Source organism: Homo sapiens, chromosome 3 (assembly GCF_000001405.40).
Source record: "Homo sapiens chromosome 3, GRCh38.p14 Primary Assembly".
Classification (NCBI taxonomy): Eukaryota; Metazoa; Chordata; class Mammalia; order Primates; family Hominidae; genus Homo; species Homo sapiens.
This window is the reverse complement of record NC_000003.12, coordinates 177,919,108-177,943,854: the sequence shown is the minus strand read 5'-3', so window position 1 is coordinate 177,943,854 and position 24,747 is coordinate 177,919,108. Positions and strand designations below refer to the sequence as shown.

The following is a 24,747-nucleotide window of genomic DNA, read 5'->3' as shown; positions in this document are numbered from 1 at the left end:
GTCCCAGTTACTCAGGAGGCTGAGGCAGGAGAATTGCTTGAACCCGGGAGATGGAGGTTGCAGTAGGCTGAGATTGTGCCACTGCACTCCAGCCCGGGCGACAGAGCGAGATTCCATCTAAGAAAAAAAAAAAAAGAAAAAAAAGAATTGCACTCCAAAATAAAGCCTACTGGGGAGGGCTGAAAACAAACTATGAGTAAAGCTGTCACCAGACACCAGAAAGCAAAAAGGAATAATCGGGCTCAAGCCTTGATCCAAGAAGTAGGGGTATGGGTGTCAAGTCCTAAGAAGTTTGGTTACAAGTGGATAGGCCAGACTGAAAATGTTTAAAATAGCTTTGGTTGACTGAGGTTGGCAAGGTTCAGCATCCACATCTGAAAAGTCAGCCTCTAATTTCTAACTGAAATAGAGAAAGAAATGTTATGTTCACTTTTTAGAAGATCTTGATTTCAGTAAAGAAGAGACCCCCCCTACGTGGTATAACTGCTATCTTTGCTGTTGTTACTATCTTCTAGTGGATCTATCTCTGTTAGATATTATGAGGTTTTTCCATATAAAAAGGAAGTACATTTAGTTGTATCATTCATATGAATTTTTCAATGATCTCTGTTTTCAAGTATGAGTTAGGTCTAATCATTGAACATGGTGATGCTCACCTAAATTACAAGAATAAAGAAAGCATAGGAGTTATTAACAGTCTTCTAGCAATGGGACTTGAAAATTCAGCCTATTAATTGATGACATATGTTTCGATGACATACGTCATAGATTGTCTAATTTTACTCTTGTCACATAAATTTATCTAGTGCTAAGCATATGAAAATGGTTCTGTGAAGTATGGCCAATTTTAACATAGACATGTATTTAATCTTAACTTTCTACAGATTATTATTATTTTAATCATTGTGCTGATGTTTTAAAAATACCTAAAGAGACCAGCTGTGTTGACAAATGAATTAAATTAATACACTATTTAAACTTAGACAAATAGATCTTAGTCTGTTGATGGACATGAACATTGCTTAGGTTTTAAGAGCAGTAAGTCCAGCGTAATAAAGAGTTATTCAACCAGGCCATTCCATCACGTCTAATTCTGTGTACTTGACCTTTAAGTAACTGAGAAAATATCCTAAGACAATGACATGCTGTGTAAAGTTTTATACTATAAGAGGGTACCGAATTTGGAAAATGAAGAGAAGTGATAAGAATTCTGGTTTTTCATTCTTAGTGAGTTCAAGCAACTCAGACTCTCTGAACTTTCATTTTTAAAAACTGAAATCATGTTACTATTATCTTTCCTGCTACCTTAAAAAGGAAAAGGTGGCAGTAAGGAAGCCTAATAGCGCTAGGAAAAGCTCTTTGTTCCAAAAAAAAAAAGAAGGAAAAGGAAAAAAAAAAGAACAAATAAAAATAAAAGAAACAAAAAAGACTACCCCCCACCTGCCTACACACTCCCATGCATTACTGACCCCTTACCCCTTTAAGTTTCCAGCAAATAACCAAGAATGAAACTGTTGGAAAGTGAGATTGGAAACAAAAAACTCAGAAATACATCAAAGTCTTCAGAGGTAGGAAAAGAGGGAAGGCATTTTTGTGATGTGACTTTCGATATGCCAAAATGGCTCCTCTGATTAAAGACAAAAATAAGACTCAAGTTGTCTTCATACTTACTAATGTTCAAAATTCTCCAAAACAAAATTTATACTTTTGTAGTATAAAGTTTATCTCTGGACATCTACACTTGTTGCAATGCATTAGGAATAAAAAGGATGATTTTTATTACTCATTGCACCTTATTCTAAATAAGTTAGCATGTATTGAGTACCTACTATGTGCTATGAACATAACTAAGCTACAAAGAGTAATAACATACATTCTTGCTTTCAAGGAGGTCACTGGCTAATGGGAGATCAAATTTGTATGTCAAAAGCTGCAATGCATAATGCAATAAACTCCCAAACTCATTGAAGTGCAAACTTCAACGAGAAGAAACAGAAAGGAGGTGGAGTTGGGAAAGGAGTTTTTTAGGAACAGTCTTTCTTGCTTGAAGGTGAGAGAAAATAATTAGCATGAGAAGATTAGGTACCTATGAAAAAAATTCATAAAATGTAGGATAATCACAGAAATGGAAAACAAAGTTTAAGAAAAAATAGACTGCTTTGCTAGCAGTCATATGATTGGTAATCTGGGCACAAATTCTGGGACACTTGAGTTATAATCTATTCAAGAGTTATTTTTTAAGTCCTATTACTACCTAATCAATTATAAAAGAAAAAACAATGGCAAAAGAAGATCCCAAAAAGAGAGTGAGCAAATTTGGGGTGACTGTACTCCTGAAAGCTGAAAATCTTAGTTGGATTAAAGAAATCCAACAGGAAATGGATACCCAGCTAACAAGGAAAAAAAGAAGAATATAATACCATGATACTTTCCCTGACATAAAGGGGCCATATGTGCCTCGAGTGGTTTCATATGCCCAGACTTCTTTTTTTTTAAATACTTCCAAGTATATATTGTCAGATCAGGAAAATAATATTTATAAATCAAAAAATAGGATGATAATAAACACCTTTGCTTTATTCTTCTTGACTGTCTTGGAAGAATAGCTATCATTTTTTTCCAGAATCATTTGCAGGTCATTTTCACATCAGGTAATACTGACTGTCATCATCTCCTTTTGATAGTTGATCAAATGTAGTCCTGTCACTATCAGAGACTATCTGAGAACTCATGAAACTTCTCCTTAGTGGTCGAAATGTAAATGTCCCTATTCTTAGACTTTTATAATCATTTCTTTCCTGAGTTGCCAGATTTTTACCTCCTTGCCTTTCAATTTCATATATAATTTTTGTGGATAAAAAGGGGAAACCCCTGTAGGATTTGTCCTTGTTCTCTACCACCTCGAGAGAATGGAATTTTGAAAGAGTTCACCCAATAAAAAGAAATAAGAGTAACTTGCAGTTACAGCTCCTCTAAACATCCTAGCAGTGTCCTTATTATTTGCATTCAGGTTTTAAAAAAGGGTACAGAGCAAATATAAATTAGATCCATCTGAGGTGAAACATTTCATTATATTTTATTATCTCCAAATCAATTCCTAAAGCAATGTGTGAATTCAAATGTTTTATCCAGCATTTTCAAGAAACCAATTTAAAATCACAAAGCTTAGAACAAATCGCCAGAAATATTGCAAGCAGTCATTAAGTTACTCCAAACCGATTAAACTCTATGTTTATACATGCAGTAATATACATGCACTTGCTCCTAATTTCCTTTTGTAATTAAGCACGTATACAGAGGTATAGCCTTACTTGAAAAATAATTTTAATCCTCTTGTTTAATCTTTTTCCTGTTCTCTCTGGCCCCTGCTACCAAGTGGCAATAGTCATTATGTCTAGCATTAACCTTCTTTTATCATGTATGAGACCAGTTTCTTTTAAATACGCATATATACTACGTAGTGAGTTTCTAGGCATTCTGAAATTGCATTATATTTGGGAGATATTTCATTCCCAAATCTATGGAGAGATACTCCCAGAAGGTTACTCAAACATAACCCAGATGTAAGTGTTCCAAAATTTAGTGTCAATGATATATGGGAAATGAACACAAATTGCACTCGTTTATAGTCAAGATCAGCTAAAATGCAACACTGTTGGATATACATTTCTGTTTATAGAAATTAACCTCCAACCCAAGATATTTAATACTGTTCTGAAATCTATTCAAATGTAAAGATTATTGACCAATTACAGGAGAATCATCACATTAATTAATAGAGTCTCATCTGTTAGAAATTCTTGCATGGGTCAAAAACAACGACATTGAAATTTCTATAAAAGTCAGTCAATTTGAACAAAACTTTTTAAACCAAGGGAGTCTCAGGTATTTAGTAAAGGGAAAGGGAAATAATAGCATTGAGCTCCTACTATGTCCTAGACTCTTAAAGTGGCTTTGCTTAACACACACACACACACACACACACACACACACACACACACACACACACTTGCTAATAAGGAAATAGATATCCAGAGAGGATTAATAATTTGCAAGTGTCACACAGCTTATGGAAGAACTGGAATTTAAATCTAGCTCTAATTCTAAACTCATGTTTTTTATACAATGCAAACAGCCTACCCAGTAAAATAAGTCTTTGCTTTTGGGGAATGTTAGCATTCATATATAGCATTTCACATACTTGTGTACAAATATCGCATTAAGCTTTTCCAAAAAAAATTTTTCTATATATTTGTCTAAGCTCTAAAGTGCTAAATGTTAACATCTTTCTAATGTGTTTTCTTGCTAGTATAATTTATTTAAGCATTTCTAATATTGGGCATCCAAATTGTTTCCAAGTTCCTTTTATCATCAATAAGTCACAAGTAAAGTCATTCCTTCCTTAAGATTTTTGTTTCTTACGTGAACTATTTTTTTTAAGATATAGTTTTAGGCCAGGCGTGGTGGCTCATTTCTGTAATCCCAGCACTTTGGGAGGCCAAGGCAGGTGGTTCACCTGAGGTCAGGAGTTCAAGACCAGCTTGGCCAACATGGTAAAACCCCATCTTTACTAAAAATACAAACATTAGCTGGGTGCGGTGGTGGCCACCTGTAATCCCAGCTACTCAGGAGACTGAGGCAGGGGAATCACTTGAGCCCAGGAGGTGGAGGCTGCAGTGAGCCGAAATTGTGCCACTGCATTTCAGCCTGGGTAACAGAGTGAGACTCCATTTCAAACAAACAAAAAAAGAAGATATAGTTTTAGTTGTGAAATTTATGGGACTAAAGGATATGACACCTATATAGGTGCACACTGCTGCCTTTTTCCCCAAACAGATGAACTAATTTAAAATAAAGTATTGTTATTTTTAAAAGACCTTGTCAGCACTCACATTGTATAATGGTGAGGAGAACATCAAGCTTCAGGAATTTATCATGCAAAGTGTTGTTGTGAATTGCCCTTGAAAAAGATAGCGACGGACCTCCTCCCCTCCCCTGAATTATGTTGCATCCCAGCAGACTAAAATGCTTATTAATTTTTAATATTATCCTTCTGAATGGAGAGCATGATAAATGTTCTTTTGTATATTCTTGTACAGTTTGAAATCTTAGAAATGCTAAGATCTCAGGACATCTATGCTAAGCCCAGTAAACACTGACGAGCTTTTACATTCCTGGAGGAGGGTATGTACCAGAAGTAAGAGTAATTATTAAATTACCTGAAACATCAATTCTAATCATAATAACAACTACTAATGTTTGTACAATGCTTTCCTGTTTAGATAGTGTTTTCCCATGTGTCTGATGCTGAGTAGATTATACTGTGCTGGAGTTTGCGAGATACAGAGAACTGTGTGCCAGAAATAAAGGTAGTATCTCTGTCCTTATTGATGCTAACAGTTTCATTGGATTAAAAAGACATCATCACACTAAAAATAAACTATTTATTCTCAAAAGAGTAGTATTAAATATCTCATAAGTGATATATATATAAGTGTCAGAATGTGAAAGAAGGAAAATGTAATTATTCTGGACTTGAGTATTCAAAGTAGTTAATATTGCTAAGGTGCGGAAAAAACTTTTCAGAAAAATCATATATGAGTGTTCTGGGAAGTTAAATCTTAGTTCCATTCTGGCCATTTTCCTGACCTCCCATCATCACCTCAGTGTGCCTGATCCAGGTCTTTGAGCACATCCTGAGGGCTTTTCTTTAGGAAAATCAGCTGAGTGCTAGAGTCCCAAACTTTCTTGGCCATCTCTGGAAGTAGGCCCTTTTAGCAACTCAAGAGCAGAGGGTTGTGCCTAGTGATCCTCTACCACTCTGTAGCAAAATATTTCACCTGCATCAAAAACATCCATGTTTTAATACTTTGCTTAAGTCTAGGTGTGGAAAATATCAAGCTTTAATAATGGAGTGTTAAAGGAGCTATTGATCCAGGCAGACAACTAAGTACATCCATTCACTCAACAAATACTTATTGAACACTTAGAATGTATCTGGCCCTAGGTGCTTATACACATTATTGAGGTATGAAGGAAAAACTAGTATTTGATTCTGAATACAGGACAGAAAAAATCCATATAATTTAGCCATAGTAGGAACAAAGAAATACATTTTTTCCAAACCCTGTGTGGTGAATATCAAGAGACTAAGACCACCAAAAAGTGAAGTAACTTACTCAGTCAATAGATGGCTAGTTTTAAGGCCAGATCTTAGAACCCAGATCATCCAATTCTTTGCCAATTTATGTTACCCAAGGGTCTCATGAAGACACTTCCATCACCTTTGCCTTCTTGAAATTTTCAATTCTCTTCTCTGAAAGAAACCATGAAAAACATCTCTCAGGACAAATGTAATTGTTTATTGTTATTATATTCAGAGACTGTAAGTTCTTCATCATCTTATATTTATTCTTCAATGAAATAAACTTGAGTAACTGGGTAAACATCTACAATGCTTCACAAACTATTAAAATGGTCTTAACAATGCTAAGACTATTAAGGCTGTGTTGTCCAATATGATAGCCACTAGTCACATGCGGTTTAATTGATTTAAATTTAAATTACATAAAATTTTTTATTCAGTTTCTCAGTTACATGAGTCACATTTCATGTGTTCAATAGCCACATGTAGCTGGTGGCTACCATGTTGAACAGTTCAATTATAGAATATTTCCACCATTGTAAAAAGTTCTCTTGCAAAATGCTATACCATATTAAAAGAATGAGCCTACTTTCCACCTGGCACTGCAAAGAATGAGTTAACTTGCAAAGTGCATTTATTCAACATTTCTGCCATGAATAATAAGATATCAACATAAGGATATGAAGAAAGAGAGATTTTACTGAGAAGTACAAGACAGATACAATCATCCTGTGTTCTTCCACTTCCCTACTTGCAAAACTAGATGTTTAAACAGCATTATTTGAATGCCTCAGATGCTCAAATGTTTCTCTCCATATGACCGTAGTCAGAAAGATTTTTCATAAGTCCCATGAAATTGTTTATGTAGAAATAGTATCAGTATTCACTATAGTACTCATTCCATTGTACATATATTACATATAAAACAAATGACATGTCTTAAAGAAAACACGAGTGATTATTTAAGAAGGAAAATTATTTCCAAGTGAGTATTCAAATGAAAAACCGTAAAAGAAAAGACTATAGTTTTAACTATACCAGTAAATTGAGCACATCTTTTTTTCCCAAATTAGAGTATTTTGGAGAAAATAAAGGAAACATAAATAACATACTATATATAATTATATTTTTACATAAAAATATTCATAATAGTGAAAAAACTTAAAAATCTGAATTGCTATTCATACAATATTACCAAGCAAAATAATCATTTCCATAAAAGGTGATATAACAATCAAAAATGCAGTCTTCTCCCAAGCAGAAACAGTATGATTTTATATAAGGAAAATAAAAAGTGGGCATCTACAAAAAAAAAAAGAAAGGATAAACACAAAGGTATTTATGTTGTTTACTTCTGGTCAATAGTATTTTTGATGTCTGCTATTCCCTCTTTCTTGCCTGTCTTTGCCAATTGTCTTTTCTATATTGAATATGTACTACTCTTACAGTGGAAATGTACAGTATATCCTTTTAACTAAACAAGCAACAACATTTTTCCTACCTGGATGCCATTATCATACAGAGTTTAAATGTATGAATGCATAAGCAAATGAATAAACACAGAAATAAGTATAACTAACTTTTCTAACACACTTATAATTATTTTATTTCAATACTTTTGAGGTACTTCTAGTAAATAACGTAGAGCTTGTTCTTGAAATTTTTATGCAAACAAATCTATAAGGAATCAAGTTTCACTTAGTTATTAGCCTTGATAGTATAAAAGGGCCAATGAAAAGAGAAAGAAGAGTTTAGAAATAAGAAATGGAACCTAGGATATATAGATTTATACCATACCAATGTGTCCTGATGGTTATAGAACTGTTCCCAAAGTTTGAGTTTTAATTAATTTTTTTAAAAACCTTACAAGGTGAAACTTAAATGAATCAATAATGCTAAACAAAGCAGTCTGCATTTCTATTAGTCTGGTTCTGGCTTCTCCTATCTCTTTAAAAAAAATATTTACTGTGCAAACTACAGGCAAAGTGAATTTTCTAAAGGACACCATTTTTAAAGAAACTGAAAAAATGTAAATTTTTCTCTTCTTTCACTTTGAATCTTAATAAGATCAGGTTCATATGATTACTACAAATATGAGAGGGAAAAAAGAATAGACGAAGGGGCAGTGAGGGGAGGAAGAGTTCTAAACCATTTCAGTGGAGTAAAGATCAAGTTCATTTTAATATAATTTTTAATGGTTGTTCAAACTCCTATAATGTACCCACACAAAAGGCTTCAGTTAATGTGTGTGTGTATTTTGAGCAGTTCCCCTCTTCGACCCTCGAGTTTAATTTCCGTCCTTCAAATGAGATGAATGGAGCGTGAAGCAGGTCATATCTCAATGCTGACACATGGGTTGCAGATAGAACTCACAGCCTGGAGAAGCAGCCAGTTTGGAGATTAAATCAAAGCAGCTCTGAATAGATGGGAGGTCAGCCAGGGCCAGCTTTGACATTTGATAGGACCTTGTGATCAATCAGGCCTTTCTTCACTCTTCCAGGCGTCCTTATGACAGTGGCCCTAAAAAAACAGATGGGATATGTTACAAAGTGCAGGAGAAGCACTAGATTGTGAAGGAGATAGGTGTCAATATTATCAAAGGGACAACTGTTATTTGAAGCAGCCAGCAAATGAGAAGGTCCTGCTTTGCTGCAATTGCTCCGCTAAAGTGTGCCTCTCATGATGTGAAATCTGAACCTTGGGAATAGTGAGATAATTTTTTAAACTGATTTTTAAAATTTCTTACCTCCTGTGTAAACTTTGAACATTCCTGATGTCATAAGATTAAATTTTAGCCAACATTCACTCTGTGGATAAACTGTATTTCCAACAAGGTCAAGCTTAGTTTGTGCTGTTTGTTTCTCTGCCTGCTAGGGAAGACATACACACACACACACACACACACACACACACACACATATCCCCCCACAGGACATGATAACCTTTGGAAGAGAAGAATTAAGGGATGTTAATGCAGAGCGCTTGCTGGGCAGGGACCTATGCGTGGTTTCAGGAAATCCCAGTCACGTCTCCAAGAAGGTCATGAAAAATGAATGGCCCCAGAGCACCACTGTGACAGACTGTTTTAGTGAGTGGTAATGGGCCATCTCTAGAATGAAAGGTTGTGTATTTATAACTGTGCAGGCCGCCGGGTATCACACCATTCATTATGCCTGCCTGATTTAAGGGAGATGCCTTTTCCGGGGGTGACATGGGAGCAAATTATTTCCAGGAAGATCACAGCTCTCTTCTCCCCCTCCACCTGCCTCTCTGTATGGCTCACCTCATCCCAGCAGTAAAACACACTCTCATGGTCACAAAAGCACATTCTCTGAATTTTTCTTGTCATAGAGCATTTCACAACTAGAGCTTATCTTACCCCAACTTGTATTGGGATGAGAGAGCTGGAATGAGGGAGCTTGCCTAAGGAGGGCTTAGACGAGGGAGGATACCACATTCTCACTCTGCTGTCTTTCCTCTATCAAGTGTCTTACTGGGAGGCTGTGGACCGATGCCAGGTGACGTGATAGACAGCTACTGGACTAATTTGCAAAGCGAATTTCTGAAGTCAGATTTTTTGCTTGATATGGATTCCATCTTCAGAGAAGGTAGCATCTGATTCACATTTTGTTTCTTGTTTACAGTGGTCTGGCATTAGTTAACTGCAAAATTACTCAACCTCTCAGGACTTTTTCTGATGAGAAATTAACCAATTGCACAAAATTTTGTCTAAGTCATTTTCCAACATGAATGCTTTGGGAATGCTTGAAATTCTAATAAGATAGGCACATGAAACAACCACAAATTCCAACCAGCATATCACATGTTATTAAAATTAATTATTAAGAAAAATTTCAGGAAATGTGTTGATGTAGCTATCTCAATAGAAATATGCAAAGTCTCATATTATAAAAAGAGTATTTAAATCTGTCAGAAGAGTTATCATAAGGTAAGTTGTTTTAAATAAAGGATTTAGATCATTTAAGGAGTTACATAAAAAAATAAGCTTTATATTTCACACTGGTCTGTTGAGGAAAAGATACATATAACATACTTGGTTTTCAACCAAGTTAATTCAGCTGCCACTTTAACATAGCTGTAATACATCAATGGTTAAAATAAGATTTCTACAACCGTGTTTTCATGGTCCGTGTCACAGGCGCTTTTTTGAAGAGATGGTACAGTTATTTTGATGATACTTTCCAGAGGGGTCAAAACACATCTGAGAGACCTTTGGATTATCAAATGTGTGTGTGTATTTAATTTACGCAAATTGTGCCCTGATTCTGGCCCCCAAGAGCTCAGATGTTTGTGAGACTTTAGAGACTATTTACAGAGAGGCACTTTTTTTTCTGAATAATTTTGTCATTGAAATGTGGCAAAAATCTTTCAAAATGGTAATTCTCCCTAGAAAGCTAATCCTTCAAGAGGTTTTTTTTTTTATGTCTCAGAGAAAGCTGTGTGTAATCAAAAGACTCTACAAAATACATGTTGGTTTTAGTCACTCTCTATAATTCCATTTAACTATTGCCAACTCCAAATACAGCCACAATTTTCCTGTATCTTGTGCACATCAGATAAAGAATGCAGAAACAATTGGCAGTTGGCAGTTAAGTAGCCAAAAGAGGAAGGAAAAAAGCTTTGCTAGTGTTTTCCAATTAATTTCTTTTCAAGTGAAAGTTTGAAAAGAAAAAAAAAATAAGAAAACTGGAAATGACCTAAAAACTCTGGTGTGATAAGATAAACTTTGGCCTGACCATCACCCTGTTTGACTGAATACATAGTCTAGGTATGAGAAACATGACCAGGAAAACATGGAATGTATTTTCAACAATTTGTAAAATTATGCTGAAGCTTTAAGAAATATAAAGGATTCGATTTTGAAGAAATTAAGTCTGTTGGAAAATTAGTGAGGGAAGAAAGCAAATAAAAATAAATATTTCATTAATGACTTTGACCACAATTTTATTTTTAAAAATTGTGCTAATGCCAAATTCTTTTTTTAATCTGATTTCTCAAATAGAACAAAGACACTTATTAATATCAGGAATTTCATCATATTTTATATTTCAATTGTCCCTTTTAAATAACCAACAAATGAGTCAATGTTTGTCAGAATGACCCAAATGCATAAAGCATTTAGTGAACACTCTGGCATGTAACAGTTTACCAAACATGCTAGCCCCTGTTTTCCCTTAGCGGAAAACAAACAGTGATAGTCTTGGTCACAGGCATAGCCAGGGAGTTTTTGTTCCACTCCATCCAAATGCCTGTTGAAACCCTCTGATTTCTCTCTTAGAATTCATGTACTCTTGATCCTGAAAAATCAATATAACTGACCACTTCAAGTATCTCCCACATTCTGAATAATGTTTAAGATTGCCCAAAGTTTTCTTAAAGGCAGAGGCTATAACCTGGTGACAGAGTTTATTTCAGATTGGGCATGGACTTCTCTCTTCAAAAATGTCCTGGGCTCACATGTGACAAAAGGGCTTCTCTGGATTCAAAACCCCTCACAGGCTGCATCCAGGAGGATATGAAATGGGCTCGCACAGGTTCTGTTTTGTAACCACTGGGCCATGGAGCGAATCCACTTATCACAGCTTATTAATTCATGCAAAGAGGCACAGGACATCTTCTTTGCCTAAAGTGATTAAGAGCTCAGGATTTCTTGAAGATAGGCAGATCTGGGTTCAAATCTCAGATCCACCTCTCACTGATGTATGACATTGGGCAACTCTCTTTAAAGGAGGAATAATAATGATGCCTAATTCAAACAATTGGTATGAGAATTGTCTAAAATGATGACAGAAAGCAAGTTTCAAAGTTCCTGTTACACATAAGCATCTCATAAAGGTAACATTATTATATATAAATCTAGCCTATCTTTGAGCACTCCAACCTGGGATAATTCCAAGGACCAAGGGAACACCATGCCCTCATGCCATTTTAAGCTATCGTTTTGTAATTAAAGAAAAGAATTAATCAAAAGATCAGTTAAGACAGTGGAGAGGTAGGAGACCAAACTTTATATTTCACGATATTTGAGAAATCAGATTTAAAAAGGAATTTGGCATTAGCACAATTTTTAAAAATAAAATTGTGGTCAAAGTTGGCACTCTTCAAATAGTGACTAAATAGTGACTAAAAGATTCATTGACAATGTCATCCTCTTAAACACAGTGGAATTGCCTTTTCACAAAATGTTGAATAATAGCAATTAGAGCATTATAGCATAGTGTATCCTCTAGAATATGAGTGTATTTTTATCCATTTCTGCATAACAAATTATCTCAACATTTAGAGGCTGAAAATAGCAAACAATTATTTTTCAAAAGTTTCTGTAGCTCACGAATCAGGAGCAGCTTAGCTGTGTCGTTTTGGCACAGATTCTTTCATGGGCTACAATCAAGGTTTTGGCTGAGACTACAGTTATCTCAAGGATATCTGCTTCCAAGCCCATTCACATAGCTATGGGCAGGTCTCAGAAAGTCTATTTTCAAGTCCATTTCCATGGGACTTGCCACAGGGCTGCCTTATGCTTTATAGCATGGCAGCTGGCTTCCCCAGGGTAAGTCATTCAAAAGAGAGTGAGAGAGAGCCTCCAAGATGAAAACTGCAGCCTTTTATAACCTAATCCCTCAATTACTGTCCTATCACTTCCCAGGTATTCTATTTGTTATATGTGAGTCAACAAGCCCAGCCCACACTCAGCAAGAAGGTATTACAAAACGATGTGAATACCAGAAGGCAAGGATCACTAGGAGCCACCTTATAGGCTGCCCACCACAGTGTATCCTCTGGTGCCCAATGATTTATTTACCTCTCAAATGCAAAATGTACTCACTGCCCCCAAAGACTTCAAAATTCTCATTCCATTGCAATATCAGCTTCAAGTCCATAATCTCGTCATCTAAATCAGGTCCAAGTATGAATGTGGTTTCTCAAGTGTAGTTCTTTAAGCACAGCTCTTCAAATACAATTCCTTGTTATTTTTAAACCCATAAAACAAGAGCAAATTATGTCTTCCTCTGCCAACATGCAACAGCGGGACAGATATAAGATAAGCACTTATATGACCCTGTTCAAAGAAGGGGTAGGGGATGGAAGACATAGGGGTTACAGGTCCATGGCAGTTCTAAAATTGAGCCAGGCAAATGTTGGAAGATCCTTGATTAGGTCTCATATCTGAAATAATTCTTCGTGTTTCTCCACTCTGCCCTCTGGGCTCTTGGTTTCACCCTCCTAGTCTTCTTTCTAGTTTTGCAAAATATAGCAGGTGTTAAAATTCTGGGCCTTCAAAGCCCTGTCTTCATTCTGTACTGTTCTGCACTGTCCCATTCCATCCAAGTGGTAATGTTTCTGTATCTATCTCTTTTGAGAACCTTATGGGTTTCCTGTGAAACTTCTCCAGGTTAAATCCATCAGACAAAAGCCCCACCCACACACCTCTTACAGATAATCTCCCTTCCACCTTGGGCTTCTGCTGAGATGACTGGGGACAATGCCCTTAGGCTTCTTAGAAGCTCTACTCTTTGGCTGAGAGAATCTGTGTGGCACACTCTTAATCTCCTTAAGGGGCCCTTCAGTCTGACTGAAGGTTCTCTGAGGTACCAGAGAATTGTGAAGATCTTAATAAAAAGATTTATGGCCACACCCTAGACATTATCTCCGTTTTAGCATCTCCGACTTTCTGAATAGTGTGAGAGCTTTCAGAACCATCAAGATCCAGCTTCTTTTTGTTTAACAGTCCTTCCCTTAGTTTAGCTTTCTCTCATCTCATGTTTTACTATAAGCAGCAAGAAAAAAAAAATGGGTGGTAACTAACCGTTCTGCTTGGAAATCTCAGCTAGATCCCCTAGTTTATCAGGCACATTTTCTACTTTCCATGTTCCTGCAGACAAGTGTATTGTTAAGTTTCTGCCCTTCCCTCCAGTTTCCAATAAGATTTTTCTCCCATTCCTTTAAGGCCTCACTGCCAGCCTCCTCATAATTCAAAATTGTATGCACAATGGGTTCAAGGTACTTGATCTTTCACCAATACTCTACTCAAAATTCTCACAGTTTCCACCTTCTACACACCGCCTATTTCCAAAACCACTGTCTCATTTTAGATTTTGCTATAAGAGCACTCTACTTCCAGGTTCCAAAATCTGTCAGTCAGGAGTTAGAATTCATTCAGCAGTCAGACAAGTAGAACCACTAGCAAAGTGAGTCAGTGACCATGTTCCATTCTTGTGTCATTCCATTCAATACTCACGTTCATAGGAAAACATCTCACTGTCCCAGCCTGGTTCACATGGCCATCCACTCACTGGCCAGAAGGAAGGCAGTACAGTTGGACTGACAGTGCCATCAAAATGACATGTAATAAGAATGGTTAGTTTTTCAAAAGAAAAGGATATGTTACTATCAAATGAAGCAGAAAGGGATACTGGTTGGGTGAAAGTAAAAGATGCCCACCACCTCTATCAAAAGTCTTTGTAACTGGCTGATGGTCTGCTATTTGCAAATAATGGATAAAAAGATTCCCTAGAGTGAACGGTTCCCAAAGATGTCGGGGTGCTTTACAAAAAAAAAAAAAAAAGATACGATTTTTAATTCTGTCTACAGCTCTAGGGCCATCTCCTATATCCAGGTCAGTTCATACTTTGCTGGTTTGTAATGTTGCATAGGAACAAGTAGTAAAAGGTAGGGAAGGAATAAAATGTCTTGACCCAAACAGAATGATTAGGAATACCTATCTCCTAGAGACATAGCCTGGGAGAGGAATTATGACTGAGACCACACAAAAGTCTGAGTGTGTCGTAAACAGGATAAACATTCAGACTTTGAAATGACCATCAATTTCTGTCTTTTCTATTATTAACATTTCTCTGCCTGTATATTTAAAAAACAATAATTCAGAACATGAATCTTTGCTTTCTCCCAAAAATGTCTTGGGCTATGTGATATTTTCACACAAAGGAGCTATTTTTGGCATTCAAAAATTGCTTTTCTTCCTGCTGGCAAAGAGAATTCACTCACTACCTACTAGTGCATAACGCTTATTTTGCTTAAAAAAGAGAAAAAGGAAAAAGGCGCTTCCTCCAAATGATATAGGAGAAAAGAGAAGATATTAAATTTGTAAAGGACAAAATTACTCCTCCTCTTTGAACATTTTCTGGAACAACACCCTGCTGCCTGTCTATTGTTTCAGAGGCTAATAGTTATATAAAGCCTCTTTAACAGCTTCTATTCCACGACATCACTGTCTCTGCCATGAAAGGAGTAGGCAATGGAGTAATGACTCACTTTAAGACCGCACCCTTATTTATATTCAGGGCTTGTCATGGGAGAGATTACCCCATTCTTTTTTGTTTCTTATTTTTTCCTTGTTTGGCTCTTACTTCCTTCTTTAATCCTTCTAAAGTTTTGTTTCAATGTCTACCTGGAACCCCTATGTTCATACTGAAAATGAAAGGAGAAAATTAGGCCGAGAATCGAAAGATTAGAATTCTCTTTGGTCTATTAACTTATGAGTGCTCTGAAGCCAATATTTTATTTAAAGAGAGAAACAAAAGTAGAACTTTGTAAATAATTTTTGCCCAATTTGATGCTTAAATGGATATTATAGGTCATTATTAAGTAATGAACATTTTTAAATAGATGGTTATTTTAATAAACAAAAATGTTGTTTTATTTAATCTCTCCCTTTAAGTTTTAGGTTGCATGGTAATTTAGGGCATACCACTTGTATTAGTCTATTCTCAGACTGCTATAAAGAAATACCTGAGACTGGGTAACTTATTAGGAAAAGAGGTTTAATTGGCTCATGGTTCCACAGGCTGTACAAGAAGCATGGCTGGGGAGACCTTGGGAAACTTACAATCATGGTGGAAGGTGAAGGGGCAGCAGGCCAGAGCAGAAGGAAGAGAGAGAGGGGAGAGGTGCCACACACTTTTAAACAAACAAATCTCATGAGCACTCACTCACTATCACTGAGCAGCACTGAGGGGCAAACTGCCCCCATGATCCAATCCCCTCCCACCAGGCCCCACCTCCAACACTGGGGATTACAATTTGACATGAGATTTGGGTGGGGATGCAGACCCAGACTATATCACCACTCTTTATTAGGAAACTCTGTAAACTTAACTATTTGGGAAAAATAAATGTATTCGATTTCTTTCACTGAACATAAGCATAGAATGACATACCATTTTTATCAGCATTTCTGTTAAATTTTCTTGGGACTTAAATTTAAAAATTCTCCAAGCCATCTTAGTTTTAAAATTAAAAGAGTATCTATCATTTATAGCACTCACACTCCTGGGATACTAATTAGTGAACAATTCATCTGGAAAATTAAAGATGTTCCAGAAAGTGTTACTAAAATAGGTGTTTGTTTTTTTTTTTTTAAGTCTTTATATGAGGAGAACTAGACTCAACTAATGAGCAGCTGAAAGAATACATTCTTATTCTATGAGATTATATATTTATAACAGAAAATAAAAAGTATGCTACTATGGATGGCATTGCAATACGGCAATACAGTAGAACAAAATCCTATAGGGAATAGGTAGTTCCCAGTTGCCTGATGCCTTCCACTAGCACGATGAGGTGATCTGGTGTTATATCGAACCACTGGAAAGGATTGAAATGACCTAGCCCTGAGGAAATCATCCATTGCCTTATATCCCCCAGAATCTCTGTTTTCTCTTATGGTAGATAAAGAATTTAGAGCAATATGATTCTTCCAATGCTACAGGTTTATAGCTCTGGCAGGTCCTAGCTCCATGTGGACATTCCATATTGCCCTGCTATTCCCACTACAAATCTTTCCTTTTCTTCTTTCACTTACTGGTTACTTGCTATGTTTTTTTTTCTTTTTTCTTTCTTTCTTTTTCTTTCTTTTTTTTTTTTTTTTTTTTTGAGACAGAGTTTCACTGTTGTTGCCCAGGCTGGAGTACAGTGGCGGGATCTCAACTCACTGCAGCCTCCGCCTTCCCAGTTCAAGCAATTCTCCTGCCTCTCAGCCTCCCAAGTAGCTGGGATTACAAGCGTGTGCCACTATGCCCGACTAATTTTGTATTTTTAGTAGAGATGGGGTTTCACCATGTTGGTCAGGCTGGTCTCGAACTCCTGACCTCAAGTGATCCACCCGCCTGGGCCTCTCAAAGTGCTGAGATTACAAGCGTGAGCCACTGCGTCCAGCCTGCAAACTCTTTTTCTTATCCTCATTCCTAACACCTCATCTTGGCCTCTTACTTCAGACACTTGATGACCAGACCCTTTTAGACCAAAAATCATGCCTTATTATAATTAGTACCTCTAGCACTAGCACTTAGCCAAATGCCCAGTATATAGTAGAAATTAGATAAGTGCTTGGTGAATGAACGATGTATAAATAAAGAAGTAGATGAATATTAAAGGGTGAATGATAAATGTCTGGGATAAAGAATTTTTCCTTCATATCACTGAAAAAGTAGAAGATAGGTTTTTGATGAAAATTCCATTTTTCAATGATAACATAGTACTATATAGAAAGCTACTATATTTTTAAAAATTAATGTATTACTCTACTTCACAAACAACATGGATAAAGTAAACTTTTGTGGCCTGTTTATTCCTGTTGTGATAACTTGACACTTTGAACATTCTGAGTGGTGCTCTCATCTTGAAAACCCTGACTAGTGCATGGCTTGTATATCTGCTTTTTGTGTTTATGAATTGGAGAATATCCGAAAGATAAAGTAGAAATTAACTTTCGGTACTATAAGTCTAACATGACTTGTAATGTTTTATGGAGGTTTTAAATGCTGATAATCATGGGCTAACAAACAGAATGCAGATCTCCACCCTATCTAGGTCTAGAACATGCTGTTTAGAGAAGTGTTGCTATATGTCAAAAGGAAGAAAATGTTCTGTGACTCCAAAGGTACAGTCACCAGGGTCAAGATTTCAGGACCCAAGGTAGCAGTTGCCAGGGTCAAGATTTCAGTTCAACTTAAAAGAAAGCCAAGCCTTCCAACAACGGAATGAGGCTCCTCCTAAAGTAGCCAGCTCAGCCACCATTGTCCATATTCAAGAAACAGCTATATTTGGTATTTGTACAAAAGTTTAAAATAAAACTGACCAAAAGACTTACATGTTAAACCTGAAGAATTCTGGGCCACCCTGAGGCCTTCTCTGCCCATTGAACAGCCACCCTAAAGGAGATTTTGACTGATGGTTTTCTTTACAGGGTGGTTCAGGGGTTTATCTAGTCCATCCATCCATCCTACCATTCAACCATCCATCCTACCATTCAACCAACCATCCATTTGTCCATCCAACATCTAACCATTCATTCATTCATTATCCTTATAAAAAAAATTCCCTCTGAACCCCTCTTTCCCAGAAGCACCATCCTCATGGTTCCCATGACATTATCTTTCCCTGTGTCCTCCCTTCCTTGCTGCTGCTCAGACATTATTGTCCTCATTTAGCACCCTCCCCTGCACACACTGTAGGATGTGCATATTCTACAAAGTCTAACCACTCATTCTGACTTATTTCCTCTCTATGAGACAAACTCCTCAGAAATCTTGGGAATATGTTTCTTCTGTTGTCACTCACATTTATTATTTTATTTGTATAACAACCTGAGAAGAAGGCAGCGTTAATATTAGTATCCCCATTTTGCAGATGTGGAAACTGAGACCCAGAGAAATTCTCTTACCTGCCCATGCTCACATGATGACAGTGACCCGAACCTGGGCCCTCTGGTTCCAAGCTTGGTGCTCTTTCCACCACCACAGGTGAGACAACTAGGTCCTGAGGGTTTAAATGGGGAATTTCTTTTTGAGCTAGAAGTCTCCTTCTATTTTACATATGATTCAAATTTTTAAATGTTATTTATCTATCAATAAAACTAATATGGGGCTCTGTAAATGTTCTTAACACCAATTTCTTTTTATGGAGTACACTGCAGCAGTCATAAACTCAGGGTACTATTATTTAAGTTAGTTAAGTTACTTTAAGATTATACAAAGAGGCCAATTTTATCACACCGTTATTGCTATTTTGTCACTTTAACATCGTCAGGTTAATTTAAGAAAAGAAAGTAATTTCAAAGGCAGTAAGCCACAATGGTATAGAAAAGGCTTTGCCAGCTGGCTGTAATGCTCTGAAAATTAATGAAATCATCACGCCTTAACATTTTCTCTAGAGCTGCACTGTTAGGAACATATTCTTTCTAAATTTAGCTATTGGCAAACAGTCACTCTTAAAAACTAATAAAATTTAGTAATACTTTCCATACATACCAGGGTGTGTCTTTTTACTCAGTAAAATTATAATTTGAATGTCTATTACTTTATGACATAAATGAATCAAGATGATTTGTACTAAGAAACTAGAGAAGAAACTACAAAAAATGATCCCCAGGTGCTTGTGGTAGGTAGTTCAGGCTTGGCTGAAGGAAAATCAGGGTCTTATTTCAGTCCTATATTCACATATTGCAAGTCTTTTGAGTATCCAAGTAGGATGATGATAAATGTCACAAAAATCCAGGCAGAAGGAGACTGCATAGATCATCAGTCCTCAGTAGAATCTTGCTGAAGGCCAACTTTTGGTGAATAAAGTAGTTATGATCACCATAAGTTTGGGGGCATAAAATGTGTTCCATTTGCATAAAATTTACATAAAACTATCTAAATGATTTCAACTACCAGGGGAAAAATATATGGGTATCTTCTTCCATTATTTAAATCTCATATACCTTCGAGAGAAGTGCTTAAGAGAACTTGCTTGCAAGGTTCTCTGAAGAATGCTACTGCAAAGTTTGATAGTAAAAGCTTGATTAAATAGAGTAACTGTGGAAACATAATCTGATTAAATTTAATTCAAGTGACTCTATTTTTAAAAATCTTTATTGTTAAAAATGTGTCTAAAATATGTCCTTTTTTCTCCTTTAATTAGTTCAGTATATGGTGTTGAACATTATTAATGGACACGGTCATTTCAGAAATATTATTAAGAGAGAAAGCTTAGGTAGGCTCTGATTCTAGGTCTGATATTTACTAGTTTTAGAATATGAGGCAAATAGTTTAAATTATTTCATCTTCTATTTTTTCAGCTATGGAACAAAAGATGGGGGGCGTTCTTTCACCTAGCTATAGAAAAATAACATGGGGGCTTTGATGAAAATTAAAATATTGAGAACTACCTTGAAAGATCTTGATTTGAGAGTGAGGAAAGAAACCAGAAATCCATATTTATGGTCAGCACTGTAGATGATTTCAATACAGTTGGTCAGGGCACTGAGTTAGGAATTGCCAAAACAATCTTGAGCAAAAATAACAGAGCTGGAAGTATCACATGCCTTGATTTCAAAACATATTATAAAGTGATTGTAATCAAAGCTGCATGGTACTTGCATAAAAACAGATACGTTGATCAATGGAGCAAGATAGAAAACCCAGAAATAAACCTATGCATTTGACGGCTAACTGATTTTTGACAAAGTTGCCAAGAATACACAATGCGGAAAGGACAATCTCTTCAATAATTGTTGTTGGGAAAATTGGATATCCCCATGCAGAAGAATAAAATTAGACCTTTATCTTATACCACATACAAAAATCAACTCAAAATGAATTAAAGACTTACATAGAAGACACCTGAACCTGTAAAACTACTAAAAGAAAACAAAGAAGAAAATCTTCATGACATTGGTCTAGACAGTCATTTCTTGGATATCACCCCTGAAGCACAGGCAATGAAATAAAAATAGACAAATGGGGTGGCATCCAACTAAAATATTCTGCACAGCAAAAGAAATAATTAACAAAGTGAAAAAACAACCCACAGAATAGGAGAAAATACTTGCAAATTATACATCTGATAAGGGGTTACTATGCAAAATACATAAGAAACTCAAACAACTTAAAACAAGAAAACAAATAACTTAAAAATGAGAAAATGGCCCAGATATTTTTCAAAAGAAGACACACAAATGGCTAATAGGTACATGGAAAAATGCTTAGCATCACTAATTAGAAAAATATAAATTAAAACCACAATGAAATATTACCTCACATCTGATATAATGGCTTTTATCAAAAAGATGAAAGATAACCATTAAGAGGATGCAGAAAAATTGAACTTTTATATGTTGTTGGTGAGAATAAAAATTAATACAGCTTTTATGAAAACAGGGTATGGAGCTTCCCAGAAAAACCAAACATAGAATTATGATTCAACCCAGTAATCTCACTTCTGGGTATATATCCAAAGAAACTGAAATCAGTATGTCAAAGGGATATCTGCACTGCTATGCTAATTGCAGCATTGTTCACAATAGCCAAGATATGGAAACAACCCAAATGTCCATCAGTAGATGAATGGATAAAGAAAATGTGGGTACACATACATGACGGAATACTATTCGGTCCTACAAAGGAGGGAAATCCTGTCATTTGTGATGACACGGATGAATTTGGAGGACATGGAGCTAAGTGAAATAAGTCAAGCACAGAAAGACAAATACTGCATGGTCTCACCCGTATGTGAAATCTAATAAAGTTGAACACTCCCAGAAGTTAAAATTAAATTTAATTTAATTTAAAAAAGTAAATTGAATTCATAGAAGTAGAGTAGAGCAATGGTTAGCAGAGGCTAGGGTGGCAGGTAGGGAGGGTTAGGAAGAAAGGGAATGATGACAGGTAATCAAAGGGTACGAAGTTTCAGATAAACAAGAGTAATACGTTTTGAGAGTTGTTTCTCAGCAGGGTGACTATAGTCAATAATAATATATATTTTTAAATAACAGAAAATTTTAAATGTATTATAAAGATAATAGGTAAGCAAGGTGATAAGCACGTTAACTAGCTTGATTTAATTATGCCACATTGTATATATACATATATCAAAACATCATGCTGTACCTCATAAATGTAGACAATTATGGTTTATCAATAAAAAATAATAATAATAAGTTTCAATAAATAAATATGGAGCCAAAACAAAGGCACAGAAAGTTTGTTTAAATGTTTTAGTTCAAAAAGCTAATTTACTATGTAACACCACTATTCAAATACATAGCCCAATGTTGTGCAAAATGTTTGCAACAAAGAGCAAATTTGGACTAATTTTCTCTGTTTTGGGGCTTTGAAAGAACTGTCCACAGTATATATGAAACCTTTAAAAATCTGTTTGCAATGGTCAGTATTCTAGAGGCAGTAAAAAAAATAGGTTTTCTGATAAGGCATCAGTTTTTCAATGAACACAATGAAATATGTCACTTTTAAGTTGAGACCATTTTTGAAATTCCAGGCAAAGCCATCACAGCCTCTGTCATGGATGCTGGATAATTGGGATTCGTTGCACAACCTACATTCTCTGAAAGATGATTGACATCCCTGCAGTTTGTACTGTGTGAAAGTGGCCACGTTGTCAAAACCTGGGCAAACACAATCTTCTCAAAAGGTTAATTGGAATTCAGTTGAATACAAAGAACGAAGAGTTTTTCTCACATACTTTTAATACACAGTTTTAAAGTTATGATTGGAATAAAGTATTTTATCTAGATTAGCACTGACCACTTATGGTAGCCACCAGCTATGTGTGGCTATAGAGCACTTGGAATGTGGCTAATCCAAAATAAGGTATGCTGTAAGTATAAAATATGCACCAGACATTTTAAAATTGTTTTATTAAGAAAATGAATGCAAAATAACTCATTAATTTTTAACTGATTACCTATTGAAGCAATAATATTTTGGACGTATCGGATTAACTAAAATATGATAGTAAAATTAATTTTACTTTTTTTACTTTTTAATGTGACTACTAGAAAATATAAATTACATGTATGGCTCACATATTTCTACTGGGCAGCTTTGTTTTCAAAAAAGATTAGAGGGTGACTCTTCTCAAACAGTTTAATTAATGTTATTTGAAGCTCATTAGAGTATGTATTTATATCTACAGCATGTGAAATAAAGATAATAATGTCATTTCATACCAGTTCATTTTATAATAAGCCCTACTGATGCCTCTAAAATATGAAATAATTTCAGAATAATTTTGATTTATGTCTAAAAGGACCTTGTCATAACACAGTGTGTTACAGAGTCTTAGAATTTCTAGATATCCTAAAAAATCATCTAATTTAATCCCATCTTTTTAGAGAAAGAAACTAAGAGGAGTTTACCTGATCACCTTAATATTACTTACGAGTAAAGCGAAAACTGGAACTCAGATCTCTGAATCCCAAGCCACAAGATTTCTATTGTACCAGTACTATTTAAATCTGACAGTGTTTCAAAAGTAGAACACAACTATTCCTTGTTTTTTTGCCCCTAATAAGTAGTTTTATTTTTTCAAAAGAACTTCAATTCAAAAGCTACATTTCTAAAAATTGCCATAACTGAGGCCACACTCATTAACCCAAAGAGATTTGATTAAGGTAATTGAATAATATATTTTTGTTGGTCTCCTTCCCCAACACATATAGTTTTATCTAAAAAGGTTTTATGACACAAAGCAATCGAAGCACAAAACTGACAAAATCACCAACAAGGAATAAGGTTTCTAAACAGAAGAAGATATGCAAGGAAGAAACCAGCTTGATTCAACAGAGTCTTAAAGCCGTGGAGCCAAGTTGGATTACCTGGAAAACTAGCCCATCAGGCTGGTTGCCTGCATAGCAAAAGGGAACAATACTCATGAAGGGATAAAATCAGAAAAACAAAAAATAAAAGGACACTGATCAACTTGCAGGAGATATTTTTAAAACCGCATTAATTTCCTGTATTTGACACAAAAGAAGGTTAACAGAGAACTGTTAGTCCTTTTTAGATAGGAAAACTGCCCCATAGCTGAGCTTTCCTTGGATCCCTTCAGTTTTGCATTCAGATGCTTCACCAGTCACTCTCTCACTCCCCCTGTAGAATGAGAAATCCAGTCAAGCTTTTTACTGGTTTTGCATTGCTAATAAAATAATAACAATTGATATTCCATTTTGTGGAGGTTGGGAGGGAAGGGGACCTAAATTAGTCTTTTTGAGGTCATTTAAAAGCAGACTCAAGATAAGAGGAAAATAGTCATTCTAAATACTTATTGATGAATTGATCAATTAGTTTTGGCAAAATAATTCCATGATATATAGTGTTTAAAATGACTACCACATTACCTGCAAACACTGTATGCTCAGTAAATGTTAATTATATCTGAATCACTCAGAGATACCAGTGTAAATATAAGGTTAGAGATAATTAAGGACTGGGGAGAAAAAAAAGCATCTGCATTGTATTTCTTCTTAACATACACTATTTTATTTTAACACTCTAATTGCAATGAATTTTCATTGTATATTACCTGAAAATTATAAATATGTAATATTAAAATATAAGGAATACTGCCGGGTGCAGTAACTCATGGCTGTAATCCCAACATTTTGAAAGGTCGAGGCAGGTGGATCATCTGAGGTCAGGAATTCAAGACCAGCCTGGCCAACATGGTGAAACCTGTCTCTACCAAAAATACAAAAATTAACTGGGTGTGGTGGGGCATACCTGTAATCCCAGCTACTCAGGAGGCTGAAGCAGGTGAATCACTTGAACCTGGGAGGTGGA

The 24,747-nt window shown here is 35.7% G+C and overlaps 1 long non-coding RNA gene across 1 annotated transcript; it reads left to right on the top strand.

The window, feature by feature from the left end:
* The first annotated feature begins 9,562 nt into the window (after nt 1-9,562).
* Nucleotides 9,563-23,725, top strand: LOC107986154 (uncharacterized). Its single transcript, XR_001741024.2, has 3 exons — nt 9,563-9,753; nt 18,815-18,927; nt 22,445-23,725. It is a non-coding gene; the product is annotated as an uncharacterized LOC107986154 (long non-coding RNA).
* The last annotated feature ends 1,022 nt before the right edge of the window (nt 23,726-24,747 follow it).